The sequence below is a fragment of the Homo sapiens genome, chromosome 2, assembly GCF_000001405.40.
Source record: "Homo sapiens chromosome 2, GRCh38.p14 Primary Assembly".
Taxonomy (NCBI): domain Eukaryota; kingdom Metazoa; phylum Chordata; class Mammalia; order Primates; family Hominidae; genus Homo; species Homo sapiens.
In genome coordinates, this window is record NC_000002.12 from 204,436,186 (window position 1) to 204,455,070 (window position 18,885).

An 18,885-nucleotide genomic window follows, 5' to 3' on the forward strand; every position below is an offset into this window, starting at 1 on the left:
ATGGTGCAGACCTATGCCCTCCCAGAGCCTAGAACAGATCAGTCTTTGAAGTCCTTTAAGCCTGAGAAACACCTCTAGACAAACCAGTCCAATGGCTTCAAGGGTTCAGAATTTAAAAAAATAACAGCTTCTCAATTCTCTCCTGGATCCAGGGAAGCTTAGGCCACTGGACACAAATCCCTGGCCACCTTCCAAGAGACAGAAAGAGAAAATACTGTTTAATCTTTCACAAATGGCCTGCAAGAGAGAAAACACAACTTGATTCATGTTTTGTTTAACCAATTAGCATTCCAATGTTCAATAGAGAGGCAGCATTGCAAGGTTCTTAGAAGCCTGGACTAGAAGCCACACTTTCAAGGTTCAAGCCCTGATCCACCACTTATTGGAAGTCTGTTCTTGGAGCTCCGGTTGCCAGATAGAATACAGGATGCCCAGTTCTGTTTGAATTTCAAATAAACCATAAATAATTTTTAAATATAAGTGTATCTTAGATGTTGCATGCAATATTTGATTTGTTAGCAAGAATTTGTGAGCAGACAATATATGTGACATATTTTTACTAAAAGATTATCAGTTCGCATTCTGAAATTCAAATTTAACTGAGCTTTATTTTTATTTGCAAAATCTGGCAACTCTTACCTTGTACAAGGCCTTTAACCCTTATAGACCTCACTTTCCTCATCCACAAAATGGAGATAAAAATAGTATTTTCTGAGTATCTAGGCCAGGTGCAGTGTCTTACACCTGTAACACCACTACTTTGTGAGGCTAAGGCAGGAGGACTGCTTGAGGCCAGGAGTTCAAGACCAGCCTGGGCAATATAGTGAGACCCTGTCTCTACAAAAATTTTTTTAAAGAATAGCTGGGCATGGTGGCATGCACCTGTCATCCTAGCTACTCAGGAGGCTGAGGTGGGAGGCTCTCTTGAGCCCCACAGTTTGAAGCTGCAGTGAGCCAAGATCATGCCACTGAACTCCAGCCTAGGTGACAAAGTGAGACTGTCTCTAAAAAATAATATTTTCCTCTAAGTATTCAGCTCATGGAGTTGTTATAAGAATTCAGTGTATTAGTATTTGTAAAGTGCTTAGAGCAGGACTTGGCAGACAATAGAACTAATATTTGTTAACAAAATAAATAATCTGACCGACCTTTTTTTCGAGCTGTCAATACATGCTTTACATAAACAACTGTGCCTTGTTCTAGAGAATGAGGGATTGAAATCTCTCCCAGAAACAATGATGGCAACTATCTTCCAGCCTCCTTTTTCCCTTCCCACGGTAGTGTAGGCTGTTAATTTAGACAATTGTTTACACCCACCCCCATTCTCGTCCTTCCCATTACCCCAGTGTGAGGGTAGAACGGCGTTTAGGCTGGCAGATGGTAGATAAAGGGAGTGGGAGGAGGGAGGTGAACCCTCAGCTGCATGCATGCCCCCACCCTTGTCACCACTGCTGCCCCTCCCACTTGTCCCTCACAGAAACCACAGGCTCCATTCCATCCCTCACTCATCTCACCCCCTCCCCAAACAACACACAAGCACGAGAAGCTCATGATGGACTGAATGCCCATGGAGTCAATGCCTTTGTCTTTTCCTAAAGGGTCTTAAAATGGGGAGTGGGTGGAGGGCGAGGAAGGAAGAATGTGGAGTGGGAAGGGCGCCTTCGTCATTCAGAACCGGCTCCTGAGCCACATCTTTTTGCGCCATGTGGTTTTGTCTTCATGTTAATAGCACACGAGCCTATTGTGAATCAACAGCACAGCATCTTCTGCAGGAACCTGCAAGGTCAGACAGGTGCGCCTTCCAGTAATGTCTCTCTAGGCAACTGGGATCACTTGGCTTCAGGGACGGATTCTGTTTTATTCTATGTTTCTTGTTTTTCCCCACAGTGGAGAACTAGAACTGGAAAAAGTACAGTCAAAGACAGGAAGTCAAGAGGGAAGTTGAAAGGCTGCAAAGCAAATATTTTGCCGTTCCCTGGGTTGTGCCACAAGATAGGATATGGGTGCCACCAAGGTTAAAAGGCAAATAAGTGCCACTCTGGGAACAGACCAGCACATGGCTCAAGGTCACTGATGACAAACAAAGCGCACAGCAGCCTCAGCATTTACTTAGAGCAAGAGACGAGAGAGTGCTCACGGAAACATCCTGCCCCTTAAAACACCTCCGTCCCCGATGGCGGGTGGGTCTACTCGCAGCCCGTGAGGGCAGTGTTGGCTGCACGTACCCTATTGTGTGCTGCAGTAGAAAGACTCCAGCTTTCCCCTGTGAGCTCTGACATGCAGAAAACTGGGGGCACATCTGAGAGCCATTGATGGACGCATTTACTTAAGCAGAACAAAGGAGTACACAATGGGTCCAAACAGGGAAAATAACTTCCACACCAGGTGGCAAGCCCAGCATAGGTGGGTGGGCTCCTTAGCTCTTGGTAAAGAAGTGTTCCCAGCCCAGAGCTCATTCTTATGTGGCCAACTAGGGATCAAAAGACTGCACACACAAGACTGCCATTCTCAACAATAAGAAACAAGACCCCCTTGTCAGGAGAAGGTGAAACCACTGGAAAAGGAGAAAGGAAAGTGTGTGTTAGTTACTAAGTCTTCAGAGGATAAAAAGAGAGGACAGCCAGACTCAGATTCTAAGGAATTCAAATCAGCACAGGTCCCAGCAATCCTCCTTCTGACTATTCATGTCCCCAGACTCTGAAAGCCACATTCAGCCTACACTCCTCAGTCTCTGGAACTGCAAGAAGACTCTCTTCCAAACTGCAGGAACCATTCAATGGCTTAGAGGTGGCAGAGTTTCTGCCTTCTCAACCTAGAATCTATGGTCCCACCAAGAATGCTTCAGCAGGAGGAAGAGAGAGCATGGTGTCCCTGTGCTGCACACATATGGTTGTCCTGGTATTCTGGTTAAGTACTGTTACATTAAAAATCACCCCAAAACCTAGAAGCTCAAAATAACACACAATTCTGCAGGTTGTCTGGGTAATTCTATTCTTTGTGGTGTCAGATGGTTGTAGTCATCTGGAGGGTCTACTGGAACTCAGTGCTATTGGTGGGGGGTTTCAGTCCTATTCCATATGGGTTTCTCCACATGGCTGCTTGGACTGCCTCCCAGCATGGTGGTTGGGTTCAAAAGCAGTATTCCAAGAGTGAGAATATCAAGATGGAGAAAAGAGAAACTTTTAGGTCAAGGAAGGGCTGGAACTAGAACTGGCACAATATCACTTTCATCATATTCAATTGGTTAAAATAGTTATATATCATCCCAAGTCAAGTTGAGAGGTGATTACACAGGGCATGAATACTGGAAGTCATGGTTCATTGGGGGTCATTAAAGGAAGAGTCTACCACGTGTATTTTAGGTTTCCAGTACCCCAAACCATATTCTGCCTCAGGTATACTATTCAATTCAACACCTATTCATTGAATATATTCAACTCACTAATACTGTTTTCTTTGAAGGGGAGGTTGTTTCTACCTTTAAAGAGATCACAGTTTAACAGGACAAACAGGTATACAAATTCCAGTAAAAGGCATAATATGAGCCCTTGTTATTTAGATAAATCAGAAAGGGATTTAATGGAGGAAAATGTTGTTTTGAGAATTATGAGAAATTTTTGTGGAACATCTTGAGAATGTGTTTTGGATATTGTGAACCACTACAAAAATATAAAATACTGCCATTGTTAGTGTTGTTACTGTAAAATTACTGCCTCTTCAAAAACTGTTTAGGGGCTTCTGTGTCCTTTAAGTCTAATGGGCCAATCTATTCACTTCTTAAGGGGATACTGGTGAGTAGTTTGGGATCCAGAGTCAGCTCACGTGGGTTAATGTCCTAGCTGTGTGACTAGACAAATTACTTAACCTCTCCATGCCTCAATGTCATGACCCTAAAGTGAAGAGAATGATATCTTCTGCATAAGATTTTTGTGATTTAATGTGTATGAGGTACTTAGAATGATGCTTGTCACATTTTAAAAATGCTCAATAAGTGTTCATTGTTGTTGAGGATTATTATGGGCTGGCTCATGCCTCTACCCCCAAAGATGTTCACATTCATAGGAACCTATGAGTATGGTACCTTACATGGTAACAGGGACTTTGCAGCTGTGATTAAAGATCTTGAGATGAGGATCTCAATTATCTACTGGATAATCTAAATTATCCAGTAGGCCCAATGTGTATTCACAAGGGTCCTTATAATAGGGAAGCAGGAGGGTCAGAGAGTGAGATGTAACTGTGGAAGCAGAGCTTAGAGTAATGGAAGGAAGGGGCTGTGAGCCAAGGAATGCAGGCAGCCTCTAGGAGCCTAAAAAGCAAGAAAAATATTCTACCCTAGAGCCTCCAGGACTATATCCCTGCTGACCCATTTTGGACTTCTGACCTCCAGAACTGCAAAGCAGTAAATCCATGTCATTTTAACCTAGTCATTTTTTTTTTTTTGCTACTCGGTTACAGCAGCAACAGGGAATTAATGCAATGAGGATGATGCCGATGCTGCTGTTGCTGACAATCTGAAAACCAGAACCTCCCTGACACAATGAAGAAACTGAGTCTCTCCAACCAGAGAAGTGCATGCTCTCTAGCCCTAGGGAGGTCTGTCAGGTAGGAGGCTTTATAAAAACTAGGCAACTCTGTGCATTTGATTAAATCACCCTGTCATCATTTTATTTAGATTTCTAAGCCACTAGTTCAAACATCAGAACAAAGTTAACTACTTTGCATTTATATTTTATGACTTGTTTTTGATTATTTTCATCAAAATTTTATCATGAAGTCATGAGTTTTACTTTAATTATATATTTTGTAAAGGTTTCCATCATGCTTAAGTATGATTTTCTCATGCATTGAGGCCACTTCAGGGTTCTTTTCCCCTTTGAATTATATATCCCCAGACATGTTATGTAACAGGCAAGGGGAAGTGTTCAACATGCCAAAATTACTAACAACTTACATCTGCAAAGCACTTTACAGTTTACATGATTCTTTTGTCAACTTCATTTCATTTTATCCTCTAAACATTCTTGTATGCAGAAAACTAGACTTGAGGAGGTTGAGAATGAATTATGGAAGTAGCATAGTAAGTCTTAAAGCCAGGTTTTAATACAAGTCTCTCGATTCTAAAATCAATACCCCTCAGAGGGACCTTCAAAGGCTTTTCAGGAAAAATTTCAAGAACTTATCTATTTGGAAAATAAAGCTTCTTATCTCTCCCTACTTCTTTCCTCCCCTGCTCATTTAGGAAGGACCTAAAATGTTCCAGATGTGGAAATGCATGGATGACATCTTCCTGGCTGTTATGGTAAGTCCATGTCTGAAGACTGGTTCATTAAACCATGTATACTCCCATGACTCATGATTGGGGGTTGATTGCTAATTTTTTAACACTATCAATAGGTGACTTATTTCTTAGGGACTTGGGAATATGAGTGGGGGTTGTGGAGTGAGAGAAGATAATATGACTTCCTGGCTAACAGTCATTCTTTCAGAATTGTTCTAAGTTCAGTTTTAATTTACTGTGCCAAAACTCTAAAATGCTCGATAAAAAAACTTAGCTGTGGCCTTTCAATATATTCACTGGGAAGGGAATGTAAATTTAGGTTTTGGAGCTTTGGTTTGGGGGACAAAAGGAGATATTGATCACCACTAAGAAAACTGTGAGCACTAGAGGAGATGTTTGGGGATTTATTTTACAGCAGTCCTTACTCAGCCTGTCATGTCATATCAGATTTGGGAACAATTGTGGAGGTAGCATTAAACAATGAAGAAATGCAGAGGAGTCTGAAGGAACCCTAAAAAGCCTGGCACTAAAAATTATAAATAAACAGAATTGGAGACATTACCACCAGAAGAGTTAGACAGCCTTAAATGATAATGACAATGAATCTTACCCTTTCCATGAAGCTTTTCCTTTGGCCTGAACCAGATATAACCTCTTCCAATGACAAAGTTCTATAACACCTAAGTTCTAGAATTTTTAGGGCTGAAATGGGATCCTAGAAAGCATCTAGGGGAAATGGAGCTCCAGCCAGCTGGCTGAGTATGAAATTAAGGTTAATAAAAAATAACGACCTTACTATAAAATTGAAAAAACAAATTTGACAATACAGTGGGAAAAATCCCACTTATAATAGTAACCAAAGATATAATACCTAGCAATACATTTAACAGGAAAGTGCAGAATCCATGCAAGTGAAACAAAATCTACTGAAGGACAGAAGAAAGGTCTGAATAAAAGGAAAGTTATGTTATGTTCCTAGATGGAAATCATGAAAATGTAAAAGATTTCAATTCTTCACAAATTAAGCATTTAATTCAACATAATCGTCATCGAAATTTGACTAATTTTCATTCAATGTACCAAGGATGTTCTAAAATTCACATGGAAGTGAATACAGATAAAAATAAGACTTTTAATAAAAGAACAAAGAGAAGAGGCATTGCTCTAACAGATTACAACACATACTATAAATCTATAGCCAATCAACTGATGTGATTTCGGCACAGAAATGTATTTTAAAAATCAGTGAGACAGTTTAAGAATACAGAAAGAAAATATGTATCTATGGGAATTTTGTGCATGATAAAGGTGGTATTCAAAATTAATGGATGTAAGTTATGATTATGTTCTACAGCTAGTAGCAGACACCTGAAAAACTGTAATTTAATCAAACAGGGATTTACTCTCCTCACATAACAAGATACAGAGGATTGCAGTTAAGGGCTATTGCAAAGCTTTGGAGATCCACATTCCCTTCAGTTTTCTAATCCTGCTCCTTAGCCCAAGTTCTTGCTTTCATGCTCACCACCTCATGCATACTTTGCTGCCCCTTCTTCAGTGGTGCATTCCCCTTTCAGGGATAAATAAACAGGAGGAAGAGCTAGGTTTTAGATGCAGAACTTTTCCAGAAGTCCCAGCAGGCTGAGACTTCTGCTTCCATTTCATTGGTCAGAATTGTGTCATGTCCTCTCTGTAGCTTCAAGAAAGGATGGGAGAAGAGATGGATGGATGAGAGATGGAAGATGGGAGGAGAGATGGATGGATGGGAGGGGAGACAGACTGATGGGAGGGGAGACAGACGGATGGGAGGGGAGACAGACGGATGGGAGGGGAGACAGACAGATGGGAGGGGAGATGTTCGGATGGGAGGACAGATGGATGGATGGGAGGGAAGATGGACGGATGGTTAGGGAGATGTTGGTCAAAGGATACAAAATTCCAGTTAGATAGGAGGAATAAGTTCAATAGCTCTATTATACAGCATGGTGACCTGAGTTAAGAACAATACATTATACTCTCAAAAATTGATAAGAGAGTAGATTTTGAGTGTTCTCATCACAAAAAAAGTTAATAAATATGTGAGGTAATGCATTTGGTAATTAGCTGCATTTAGCCATGCCACAATGTATACATATTTCAAAATGACATGGTATATATGATAAATATATGCAATTTGTATTTGTCAATTAAAAAATGGAATAAAAGGGATAGGACAGGTAGGTTCTTAAATGAGCACAGTGATACCATAAGCAAATAGTAAGTTTGTCTTTTCCATCAATAAGAAAGGGAAACTGGGTAGGAAGGCATTTAACAGCATCTGCCTCACTGGGCCAGCTTCATGGATGTGAGGCTTATGCAGTCACATAAGACCCCATACTTGGTGTAATGCCCTTTATGGCCATCTTGAAATGCTTAATTGTTTTATCTTTGAACTTGTATTTTATAAGTGAAGTCCAATGGGACAATGGAACCCGTGCATGAGCAGAAGAGATATGTACAATATGCATGCTCCCTGGTCCTTGCCCCATTTGCATGTAGCATTCATGATATGTCAGGAGCAAGGAATTCTGGTAGACTCATGATGCATGGAAATTTAGTGAGACTCAAAATGAGTGCAAAGGAAGGCTGTTACATCTGTAGCTGAAGAAGTGGGGATGCTGACAGCCCTGAGAGGCTGTGCTTTCCATTAAAACCAGAACCTACTACAAACTGAGAGAAGGCAACAGTGTGTAAGAAACACAAATGATCTAGGAACCCTATCATCTCCTTTCTAACTCATGTTACTTTTCCCTGCATAAAGTAAACTCTTAAGCTTTTTCAACTATGATTACATAGGGGAAAGGAAATAAGGAAGAAACCCAAATTCCTTTTCTTATCCGTTGTTCCTTATCAGTAAGCCAAAGGTAGAGAGGGTTGGTAGAATATTCATGTATGAAAAAGGTGAAGTCAAAAGAGTCAACTTAGTTTTGTACAGTGTTTCCACTGTTCTGTTAAGAATGAAATACATATGAATGTACAAGCTGTGACATACAAATTATGTCATTTCAGTGATTTCATATACAAGTTAGGCACAGGGTTATAAGCATGCCCAGGGCTGTGCACACAATTTGTAAAATCCTGAGAAGACCCTAAGCTTTCACCTTTGGTTAAGGAAATCTCTGTTGATTCATTAGCCAACCGTAAAGCTAAGCGAGTAGACTTCAGTAGCTTTGACATGCCAAAGAACACAGGCAGAATTAGTTCAGAAAAGTCACTAAGCAAACAACTATTACTACAAATAACAATAAAAACAATAAACTCTGGGGAGAAAGGAGGATCTGATTTCCAGAGTTGCTGCATTACATTATTTACTGAGAAATGCAGTTGAAGAAGAAGGGACGTTTGATGGGTCTCACAGATAATGCAGAAATTTTGAGTCCCTGGGTTTTACTGAGTTTCCACTGACTATCAGTGTGGCTATGGGAGAGTTGTCCAACTTTTATGGGTTTCTGAGATTCCAACTGTTAAATGAAGGAGTTGACAAGACAATCAGAAACTTTTAAATATGTTCAAAGAACCAAAGGAAGTAATGACTAAAGAACTAAAGGAAAGTAAAATGATGTCTTACCAAATAGAGAATATCAATTTAAAACAAGAAATTATAACAAGAACCAAATAGAAATTCTTGAGTTTAAAAGTACAATAACTTAAAAAATTCATGAGAGGGATTCTACCACAGATTTGAGCAGGCAAAATAACCAACAAATTTGAAGATAGGTCAACATACATGATCCAGTATGAGGCACAGAAGGATAAAAGAATGAAAAAAGATGAACAAAGCCTCAGAGACCTGTAACGTGTGAACATATGCATAATAGGCGTCCCAGAAGGAAAGGAGAGAGAAAAGTGGACAGAAATAATGGCTGAAAACTTCTAAAACATGATGAAAAATATTGATGTGTACATTCAAGGACTCAAAGGGATTCACAACCACACACATCATAAGCAAACAACTCTAAAGATAAAGAAAAGGAAGAATCTTGAAAGCAGCAAGAGAGTAGTGACTTATCACATACAAGGAATTTCAGTAAGATTAACGGTCAATTTTTTTTATCAGAAATCATGAAGGCCAGAAAACAGTGAGATAATGTATCTAAAGTGCTGAGAGAGAAAAGGTGTCAATTAAGAATTTTATATCAGACAAAACTATCTTTAAAAAATGAAGAAGAATTTAAGACATTCTCAGATAAACAAAAACCAACACAGTATTGATATATATTTTTTGCAATACTTTTTTTCTCCTATGTGATTTAAGGGACAACTGCATAAAGCAAAACCTATAAATCTGTGTTGATGGGCATACAATATACAAAGATATAATTTTATTACAATAATGGCACAAAGGAATTTTACAAGAACAAGGGTTTTTTAAAATTATACTTTAAGTTCTGGGGTACATGTGCAGAATGTACAGGTTTGTTACATAGGTATACACGTGCCAGGATGGTTTGCTGCACCCATCAACCCATCATCTATATTAGGTATTTCTCCTAGTGCTATCCCTGCCCCCAGTCCCCCAACAGGCCCCAGTGTGTTATGTTCCCCTCCCTGTGTCCATGTGTTCGAATTGTTCAACTCCCACTTATGAGTGAGAACATGCGGTGTTTGGTTTTCTGGTCTTGTGTTAGTTTCCTGAGAATGATGGTTTCCAGCATCATCCATGTCCCTGTAAAGGACATGAACTCATCCCTTTTTATGGCTGCATAGTATTCCACGATGTATATGTGCTACATTTTCTTTATCTAGTCTATCATTAATGGGCATTTGGGTTGGTTCCAAGTCTTTGCTATTGTGAACAGTGCTGCAATAAACACACATGTCCATGTGTCTTTATAGTAGAATGATTTATAATCTTTTGGGTGTATACCCAGTAATGGGATTGCTGGGTCAAATGGTATTTCTAGTTCTGGATCCTTGAGGAATTGCCACACTCTCTTCCACAATGGTTAAACTAATTTACACTCCCACCAACAATGTAAAAACATTCTTATTTCTCCACATCCTCTCTAGCATCTGTTGTTTCCTGACTTTTTAATGATTGCCATTCTAACTGGCATGAGATGACATCTCATTGTGGTTTGGATTTGCATTTCTCTAATGACCAGTGATGATGAGCTTTTTTTCATATGTTTGTTGGCTGCATAAGTGTCTTCTTTTGTGAAGTGTCTGTTCAGATCCTTCACCCACTTTTTGATGGGGTTGTTTGTTTTTTTCTTGTCAATGTGTTTAAGTTCTTTGTAGATTCTGGATATTAGCCCTTTGTCAGATGGATAGATTGCAAAAATTTTCTCCCATTCTGTAAGTTGCCTGTTCACTCTGCTGATAGTTTCTTTTGCTGTGCAGAAGCTCTTTAGTTTAATTAGGTCCCATTTGTCAATTTTGGCTTTTGTTGCAATTGCTTTTGGTGTTTTAGTCATGAAGTCTTTGACCATGCCTATTACCTGAATGGTATTGCCTAGGTTTTCTTCTAGGATTTTTATGGTTTTAGGTCTTATGTTTAAGTCTTTAATCCATCTTGGGTTAATTTTTGTATAAGGTGTAAGAAAGGGATCCAGTTTCAGCTTTCTGCATATGTGTAAGGAAGGGATCCAGTTTCAGCTTTCTGCATATGGCTAAACAGTTTTCCCAACACCGTTTGTTAAATAGGGAATCCTTTCCCCATTGCTTGTTTTCGTCAGGTTTGTCATAGATCCTATGGTTGTAGACATGGGGCATTATTTCTGAGGCCTCTGTTCTGTTCCATTGGTCTATATATCTGTTTTGGTACCAGTACCAAGCTGTTTTGGTTACTGTAGCCTTGTAGTATAGTTTGAAGTCAGGTAGAGTGATGTATCCAGCTTTATTCTTTTTGCTTAGGATTATCTTGTCTATGCAGGCTCTTTTGTGGTTCTATATGAAATTAAAAGTACTTTTTTCCAATTCTGTGAAGAAAGTCAATGGCAGCTTGATGGGGATAGCACTGAATCTATAAATTACTTTGGGCAGTTTGGCCATTTTCACAATATTGATTTTTCCTATCCATGAGCATGGAATGTTTTTCCACTTGTTTGTGTCCTCTCTTATTTCCTCAAGCAGTGGTTTGTAGTTCTCCTTGAAGAGGTCCTTCACATCCCTAGAAACAAGGGTTTTATATACTGTTAAAATCAAGTTGTATTAATCCAAACCAGACACTTTTAAATTAAGATATTAATTGTAATCCCAGGGCAACCATTAAGAAAATAACCCAAACATATATAGTAAAGGGAATGATAAAAAAATGGTATATAGAAAATTATTTAACACAAAAGAATGCAATGATGGAAGAATAGAGGAACAGAAAGCATGAGATACACAGAAAATAATTAGATAATATCAAGTATAAATCCTATGTTTACTACTTACAGTAAATGTAAATGAAATAAACATTACAATCAAAAGACAATGATTGGTAGAATGAATTTTTAAACACATGATTCAACTATGTACTATTAGAGAAGTACTTTGGATTCAAAGACACAGAAGATCGAAAGCAAATAAATACAAAAATATATCATACAACAGTAGCCAAAAGAGAACTGGGGTGACTATACTAATATCAGACAAACTAGACTCGAAGACAAAAAATTGTTACTAGAGACAAAAAAGATATTTGATAGTGATAAAAGGGTCACTCTGCAAGAATATATAATAATGAAAGTGTATATACTTATAACAGAGCTGCAAAATATGTGAAGCAAAACCTGACAGAATTGAAGGGTGAAATACACAATTAAATAATGGTAATTGGAGACTTCAATATTCCTCTTCCAATAATGGATAGTGCAACTAGACAGAAGATAAGCACGGAAATAGAACACTTGAACAATACTATAAACCAACTAGACATTTATAGAAAACTCCTAACTACAGAAGAATAAATATTTTTCTCAAGCACACACGGAACATTCTCTAGGATAGACCATATGTTAAGCCATAAAACAAATCTCAGTAAATTTAAAAGGATTTAAATAATACAAAGTATGTTCCTCAAGCACAAAGAAATAAAATTAGAAAGAAACAGGCTGGGAGCAGTAGCTTATACCTGTAATCTCAACACTTTGGGAAGCCAAGGCAGGAGGATTGCTTCACCCCAGGTGTTTGAGATCAGCCTGGGCAAGATAGCAAGACCCTGTGTCTAAAAGGAAAAAAATTACCTGGGCATGTTGGCACATGCCTGTAGTCCCAGTTACTTGGGAGGCTGAGGAAGGAGGATCACTTGAGCTGGGGAGGTTGAAGCTGCAGTGAGATGTGATCACACCACTGCCCCCCCCCAGCCTGAGAGTCAGAGTGAGACCCTGCCTCAAAAAATAAATAAAAAAGAAAATTTGGCAAATTCAGAAATATATGGAAATTAAATAACATACTCCCAATGACCAGTGAGTCAAAGAAAAAATGATCACAAGGGAAGTTAGAAAATACTTTGAGATAAATAAAAATGAAAACAAACATACTCAGAACTTACAGAATACAGCTAAAGCTGTCAGGAACTTTTGCTCTACCTGCATTGTTTGAAATTTATAAAAATGTGTTCAAGTGCTATAATTTCAAAAAGTTTCTAATTGTTTTGTCAACTCCTTCATTTAACAGTTGGAGTCCCAGAAACCCAGAGATTCTCCCACAGCTGCACTGCTAGTCAGTGGAGACTCGGTAAAACCCAGGGACTCTAAATTCCTGCATTATTTGTGTGACCCATCGAACATCCTTTTCCATCACACTTCTCAGCAAATAATGTTTTCTTCACTGCCACAGAGTATAGTTAACTGCACATTTATTTTATCTAAACCACCAGACTATTAGGTCATAAAGTGTGAGGACTTTCTTGTATTTTCCGGGGTGCATTAGCATAGTACTTTGACTAGCAACTGTGAAAACACATGTTGGGCACCCCAATATAGGCATTGGGCTAGGTGGTAGAGGTAAAAGGTAAATAAGACATGGTCTTTCCTGTTGAAGAAGTCATTTATTGAGCCAAGTGTTCAATAACTTTTTCACTGATTAAGTAAATGGATTTTGAAACTTAAAACTTGACAGTCCCGCCTACTTAACAACACTTGATTTACTGAAATTCTTTAAAATATCATATTTAAAAGCTCAGCATGAAGAAAGAGCTAACCAGAACACCAACTTCTCCAGCAATATATTAAACCCATGAATGACCATCCCAAACTTACATTTTTCAGACCAAAAAGGTCTAAAATAAGGACCAAGAAAAGTTTTTACCATCCAGACAGGCATTTTCCACTGACAAATGAGATCATCTGCTTCCCAGTAGGTGGGTCCTGAGGGACACTTCTTGCATTTTGAAACAATAAACTTAAAAGAGATTTATTTTTTAAATGTTGATAGCATTAACAAGAAAATACATCCCTAGTTCAGAAAGTAAATTTAATTACGGATGCAATGTTAAAATACACAGACGCAGAAAGAAACCTGTAAGAAATGGATTATACTGCTGACTGGATTGATCAGGACCTGGTCTTTAAAAAGAGCAGTAAGACCTGGGCTTTTCCTTAGCTCTGTTACCATCAGACACACACAAGTTCTGATAGGAAAGATTGTGCCAAGCTGCCGCAGAGCTGAGATACAAATGGTTTTTATTGTCTGTGGGCTGAGAGTATAATCCTGCTGCAAAATGTAGCTCTGGGAAAGACCCTGCACATTTGCTTTCAGAGTGACTCTGTCTCTTGATGCTTGATGGATGTCTTTCCCCAAGCAAGAAGAAAAGCTCTATTATTGACAAGCTCAGTGGCAAAGGATAAAGGCTGAAACAGCTAGAGGAGAGTGCACGGGTGACCGGAGGTTTCAGAAAATGGACCTAGAATCAGTGAATCACAGAAACACAAGGCCCAAAGAAGGATTTTCATTTCAACATTAGTGATAGCCCAAGTCACTGAATTCAGATTTTTAGAAATCTTAACTTAGTATGCACTTGTTAGTGAACATTTGATGACTGTTTTAATCAGGATTGGATAGGTTATGCTGCTGCTAAAAAGAGAAAACAAATATCTTAGTGGGTTATAATAACAATTTTGTTTCTTGTTCATGCGACGTCTCTCACGGTTTTGCAGAAGCATCTGCCCAGTGTAGTGGCTCAGGGACCTAGGCTACTAGAGCTGCCACCATCTCAAAACCTGCTGGTCACCATGTCAGAGGAAAGATTACTCTGGAAGGTCTTAGCCTGCCAGTTACATGATCTGGCCCAAAGGGACACATATCAGCTCTGCTCACACCTCATTCCACAGAACTAGTCTCATGCCCCCACCCAAACTTCAAGGGGCAGGAAATGTAATCCTCTTATATACCTGAAGTCACATAGCCAGAAATACTTGGTGAATGGCATCAATGACTGATTGTCACTGTTATCAGTGATGATGGTGATAGTCAAGGCAAAACAGAAGTCCTAGCAGCTTTAGTAAACCTCTGCCTGTGCACCATCAAACCTTCAGCAATAACTGTTTAAACTCTAGAACTATGTGCCAGGATCTGTATTATCAAACTCCAGATATTTATCCCATTATTTTGTGGTTCTATCCTATCCCATCATTTTCAGCCCATCATTTATCTACCCACATGCAGTTTGGAATCATAACTTCTGTGTTTCCATTGATTGCAGAACCCACCATGTGGATAAGCTGTGACAGCATAATTAGTTCAAGTGGAAATTGCAGGTGGAGTAATTCCAGAACAGGTTCTGCTACAATAAAATATAGGGTTTAGTATGATTTGAAGTTTAATACCTGTAAAGAAAAGGCTGCAAACTCAAATGCCTTCAGGGGACAGACAGGTAACATACTTGCAGGAAAAAGCCACTTTTAAGAGGTTGGAGTATTGGGGGCCAAGCTGAACCAGGGAGAACATGGCCTATCTAAAAGGCAAAGTATCTCCTCTGGATTCTTAGGTAAAATCTAGATTTTGAATTTTGGCCAGGAAAAAATCTGTTTTCTAAAATTATATTTTATGAACCAAATAAAGCATGTCCATAAGCAAAATTTTAGCCGCAGGCTACCAATTTGCACCTTCTGCTGAAAGGTTTGGATGATTAAAATACATCCCACAAGGCTGATTACTTCCTGCTAGGCACCACGCTCACGTTTTAGGTAGCTGCCGCTGGGTTAGTGATGGAAGGTGAATATGAAGCCACAGGCTGTGATGAAGTATGCCTCGTTAGGTTTGGGTTACTGAAAGAAATGAGGAGAAAGTACATGAGGATTTCCTTAATGCACTACCAATCCTTATATAGAGATATCACTTTTTAGTAATGCTAATATCTCCTTTTAAACACAGGGAAAATTGAAAGGCACATGCAAACAAACTATAATATCCAGTTACAGGTAATATAGGGCCTAACAGTAAATTTCAAGAGTACTAAATTATGTTGTGATAAAGTTTTATCTCATCCAATGGACTTCCTCAGGCTTCAACCTTGGCTCCAAGCTCCTTTTCAAAATATAAGTGAGTGTAGCTTAGTAGTTTCAGAATATAGACTATAGAGCCAAATACAACCTTCCCAACTGGGTGATCTCAGACAGGTCACTTAACTTCCCTCTGCTTCGATTTTCTTATTAGAAAAATTGGATACTAATAGTATCTTCCCCTTAGGTTTGCCGTGAGGATCAAAAGAGTCAATAATACATGTAAAGTGCATAGAATCTTGGCGGCACAAAGCAAACGCTGAGTGAAAGTATGTTATGTTCGTTTCTTAACACTTTCTTATTAACTGGAAAATCCTGTGGTGTTTACTTCTTGTTAGAGAGAAAACATTTTCCTTTTTTTCCAATAAATTTTGTCCTTGACAGCTATTCTTTGAGTGTCAGTCAGTCTCTCGAAACAGAGGAATGTCTGTATAGCTGCAGTGACATCTTGCCAGGAGAGCCTTTCTTTTCTTGGGACTTTTCATTTCCATTTCACAACATGGTTCTGGTCAGTACTTCTTTGGAGGGACTTCTGATCAGCCCAGATCTTGCTGCCTTTTTCCCCATATCCTGCCCCTTAAACTCCCATCCCACACCCTGCCCCTCGTAGACACTTTAAAATCCACTTGAACACCACAGATGAATCATTTGGCAAAGTAAACAATAATTTCTTCCCAGGGAACTCCTCAGGACTCTGTGGTGTTTTGACCATCTGCAGCCATGGAAACGACAGATGAAGTGTATGGTCATTGGAATGCTTTTAACTCGCGCTTCCTGTGGCAGAGACTACTAATTGCTTCTCAGTAGCCGTTCTCCCTTTCTTTATAAGAAAGTTTTAGCTGAACACATCACTGCCCCACTAAAACATTTCCCTTGTGGCTTGATGTTGCCATGTGAAAGCCCTGACCACAGAGATGTAAGCAGGAATGCTGTGTGTGTGCCTTCCAGGAATTCTCTTTAAACGAAGAGTACCAATTCTTCCTTCAGTCTTTCCTCTATCGTGATACCTTGGATATGAATATAATGGCTGGAGCTCCAGCAGCTATTTTAGACTATGGGATTTAAGACAGCAATTCTCAAAGTATAGGCTGAGGATACAGAGAACAAAAGCCTTGCTCAGGAGGCCCACAGAATCCTCCCTTTTCCAAATATATATCTATTTCAAGTCTAGAATTTTCTTCATAAATTTCAACCAAAACTATGAATATATTGCAACAGATTGCATACAGTGGCGTATATGAAATTCAAAATGTCTTCTATTAAGCCAGATAGGGATTTATAAAAATGTAAAAAGGTTATTCTTCCCACTAATTTTTTTGTCTTAGAAAACATAATTATTTTTCACAAATCCGTGTTATTGCTAACATGCAGTAGGTTTATTATTTGTATTTTAAAATGAAAATATGTAAAAAAATTTCTCGGTTTTAATTTTTACTATAGTAACTTACATAAACAATAGCTCTTTGCAGGCCTTAATGACTTTTGAGGGGGTAAAGGGATCCGGAGACCAAAAAGCTTGAAAGCTGGTTTAATTCCACACTCTATAAATAATGGGGAGATGAACTACAAAGAGCCTGAGTTAATGTCAACTTTTTTTTATGTGAGCAAAAGTTAAACTTCTATATGTGTAAGTCACTATTACTGGGGTGTTTCTGTTATATCAAGCAAAACTAATTTTTTTAACAGATACCTTCCTACTTCCATTATTTGAGTTGAGACCATGGCTAAGAGCAAAACAAAGCAATTAAAAGCTGACGATTTTTGTGAGACTCTTGGCTGGGAGCACTAGTTTAAACAAGATAGTGTGAAGCATGCAATCCTGGCTTTTTTTGTGTGCCTGGCATGTCGTAAATGTCTAAATGTGGATTCTGCAGAATCTCTGCATCCAGTGAGCCCTTGTGACTCCACATCTAGTTTTAAGGGAACAGAACTGGCTCTAGCAGGCTGATACTGGTGTAGCCAGGGTGGGAACAGGGATATTCTTGTGTGTCTGAGGACCACGTTCAGTCACACGGCTGCCCCGGTGCCCTTGGCAGAGTGCCTAAGATGGGGCCAGGAGGGGTGGAGCAGAGGCAGTGCCACTGGGAAAGCAGCCCTCCGTCTCCAAGGCACCTCCTCTGTGTTTCCTGCCTTCACAAAAGACACACAAGAAACCTAGTGGCTGATCACTGTCAGGAAGTAAGGGACACAGAATCTAGGGCTGTGGGAAAAGGGGACCGGGAGGCCGGGGGAGGCCCTCCCATTCTGAGCACAAGCCTTAGGAGAATGCAGAGGAAAGAATAGCAAAAGCTCCCTATGAGGCGAAACCCACTCTCTGCACCAAAAGGAAGAGACTCTGGTTTGCCATATAAAGTGCACACAATTCCCTTCTCTGACAGAAGACACGAGCAAAGGTGCTGGACTTCACAGGGCTTCAGCTGATCATTTCTAAAGTTCAATTTGCTGCTAGATCTTAAACCTGCTTTTCGTCAACCACTCAGCAGAGGTGGGGCAGAATTTTTTTCCCTCTATTTGCAAGTCTGTTTTAAATACTACATTTTAAATCATAACTCTCTTGAGAATAATATGGCAAATTTACTTTCTTTTAAGGCCCACCTTAAAATACATCAAATCACTGTGTTTTCCTCCGCTCTAGATTTTCTTCTCTTTCATTACATTGCCATAAAGAAATGCCTGCTTGTCTGTTGACCACTGTACCTCCAGCACCTATGATATTATGCTGGGATAGGGCTGGAAATGCCCCTCTACATATGGTCTGCCTGCCATCAGCAAAAGAAGTTGTTGTGCTTTGACAGAGACACATTCTGTGAGGGCCTTATGTAAGCCTGATGACCATAAGCAAATTATTTGGAAGAGATTATTTAAATTGTACAGTGGCAGGAATTAAATATTCAATTGCAATAAGTTTAACTGATTAAGATATTTACTTTGCAGATGATGTAATAACTGGAAAAGCATATCAGTGGGAAGGTGTCTGACATGTTTGGTTGAGAGAATATACTTGGAAAACATATGGAAATGATTGATTTTTTTTGCTAGCTCCCCCATAAAGTAGCTGCTTTGTGCCCACTGAAATGGAGCCATCGCACAAGGGCTATGATATGCATCGTGGGGGTGTCTCTGAAGAACTCAACC

The 18,885-nt window shown here is 39.3% G+C and overlaps 3 annotated features.

Moving 5' to 3' along the window:
* Positions 2,076-2,623: an enhancer, noted in NCBI's record as "NANOG hESC enhancer chr2:205302984-205303531 (GRCh37/hg19 assembly coordinates)". NCBI's record gives its function as "activates a minimal SCP1, AML or CMV promoter by ChIP-STARR-seq in naive H9 embryonic stem cells {active_cell/tissue: H9 hESC(naive)}" and the evidence as "EXISTENCE:reporter gene assay evidence [ECO:0000049][PMID:30033119]".
* Positions 15,744-16,943: an enhancer, noted in NCBI's record as "BRD4-independent group 4 enhancer chr2:205316652-205317851 (GRCh37/hg19 assembly coordinates)". NCBI's record gives its function as "activates an origin of replication core promoter dependent on BRD2, P300/CBP, MED14 and CDK7 cofactors, and independent of BRD4, by STARR-seq in HCT116 cells {active_cell/tissue: HCT116}" and the evidence as "EXISTENCE:reporter gene assay evidence [ECO:0000049][PMID:35650434]".
* Positions 17,849-18,349: an enhancer, noted in NCBI's record as "H3K4me1 hESC enhancer chr2:205318757-205319257 (GRCh37/hg19 assembly coordinates)". NCBI's record gives its function as "activates a minimal SCP1, AML or CMV promoter by ChIP-STARR-seq in naive H9 embryonic stem cells {active_cell/tissue: H9 hESC(naive)}" and the evidence as "EXISTENCE:reporter gene assay evidence [ECO:0000049][PMID:30033119]".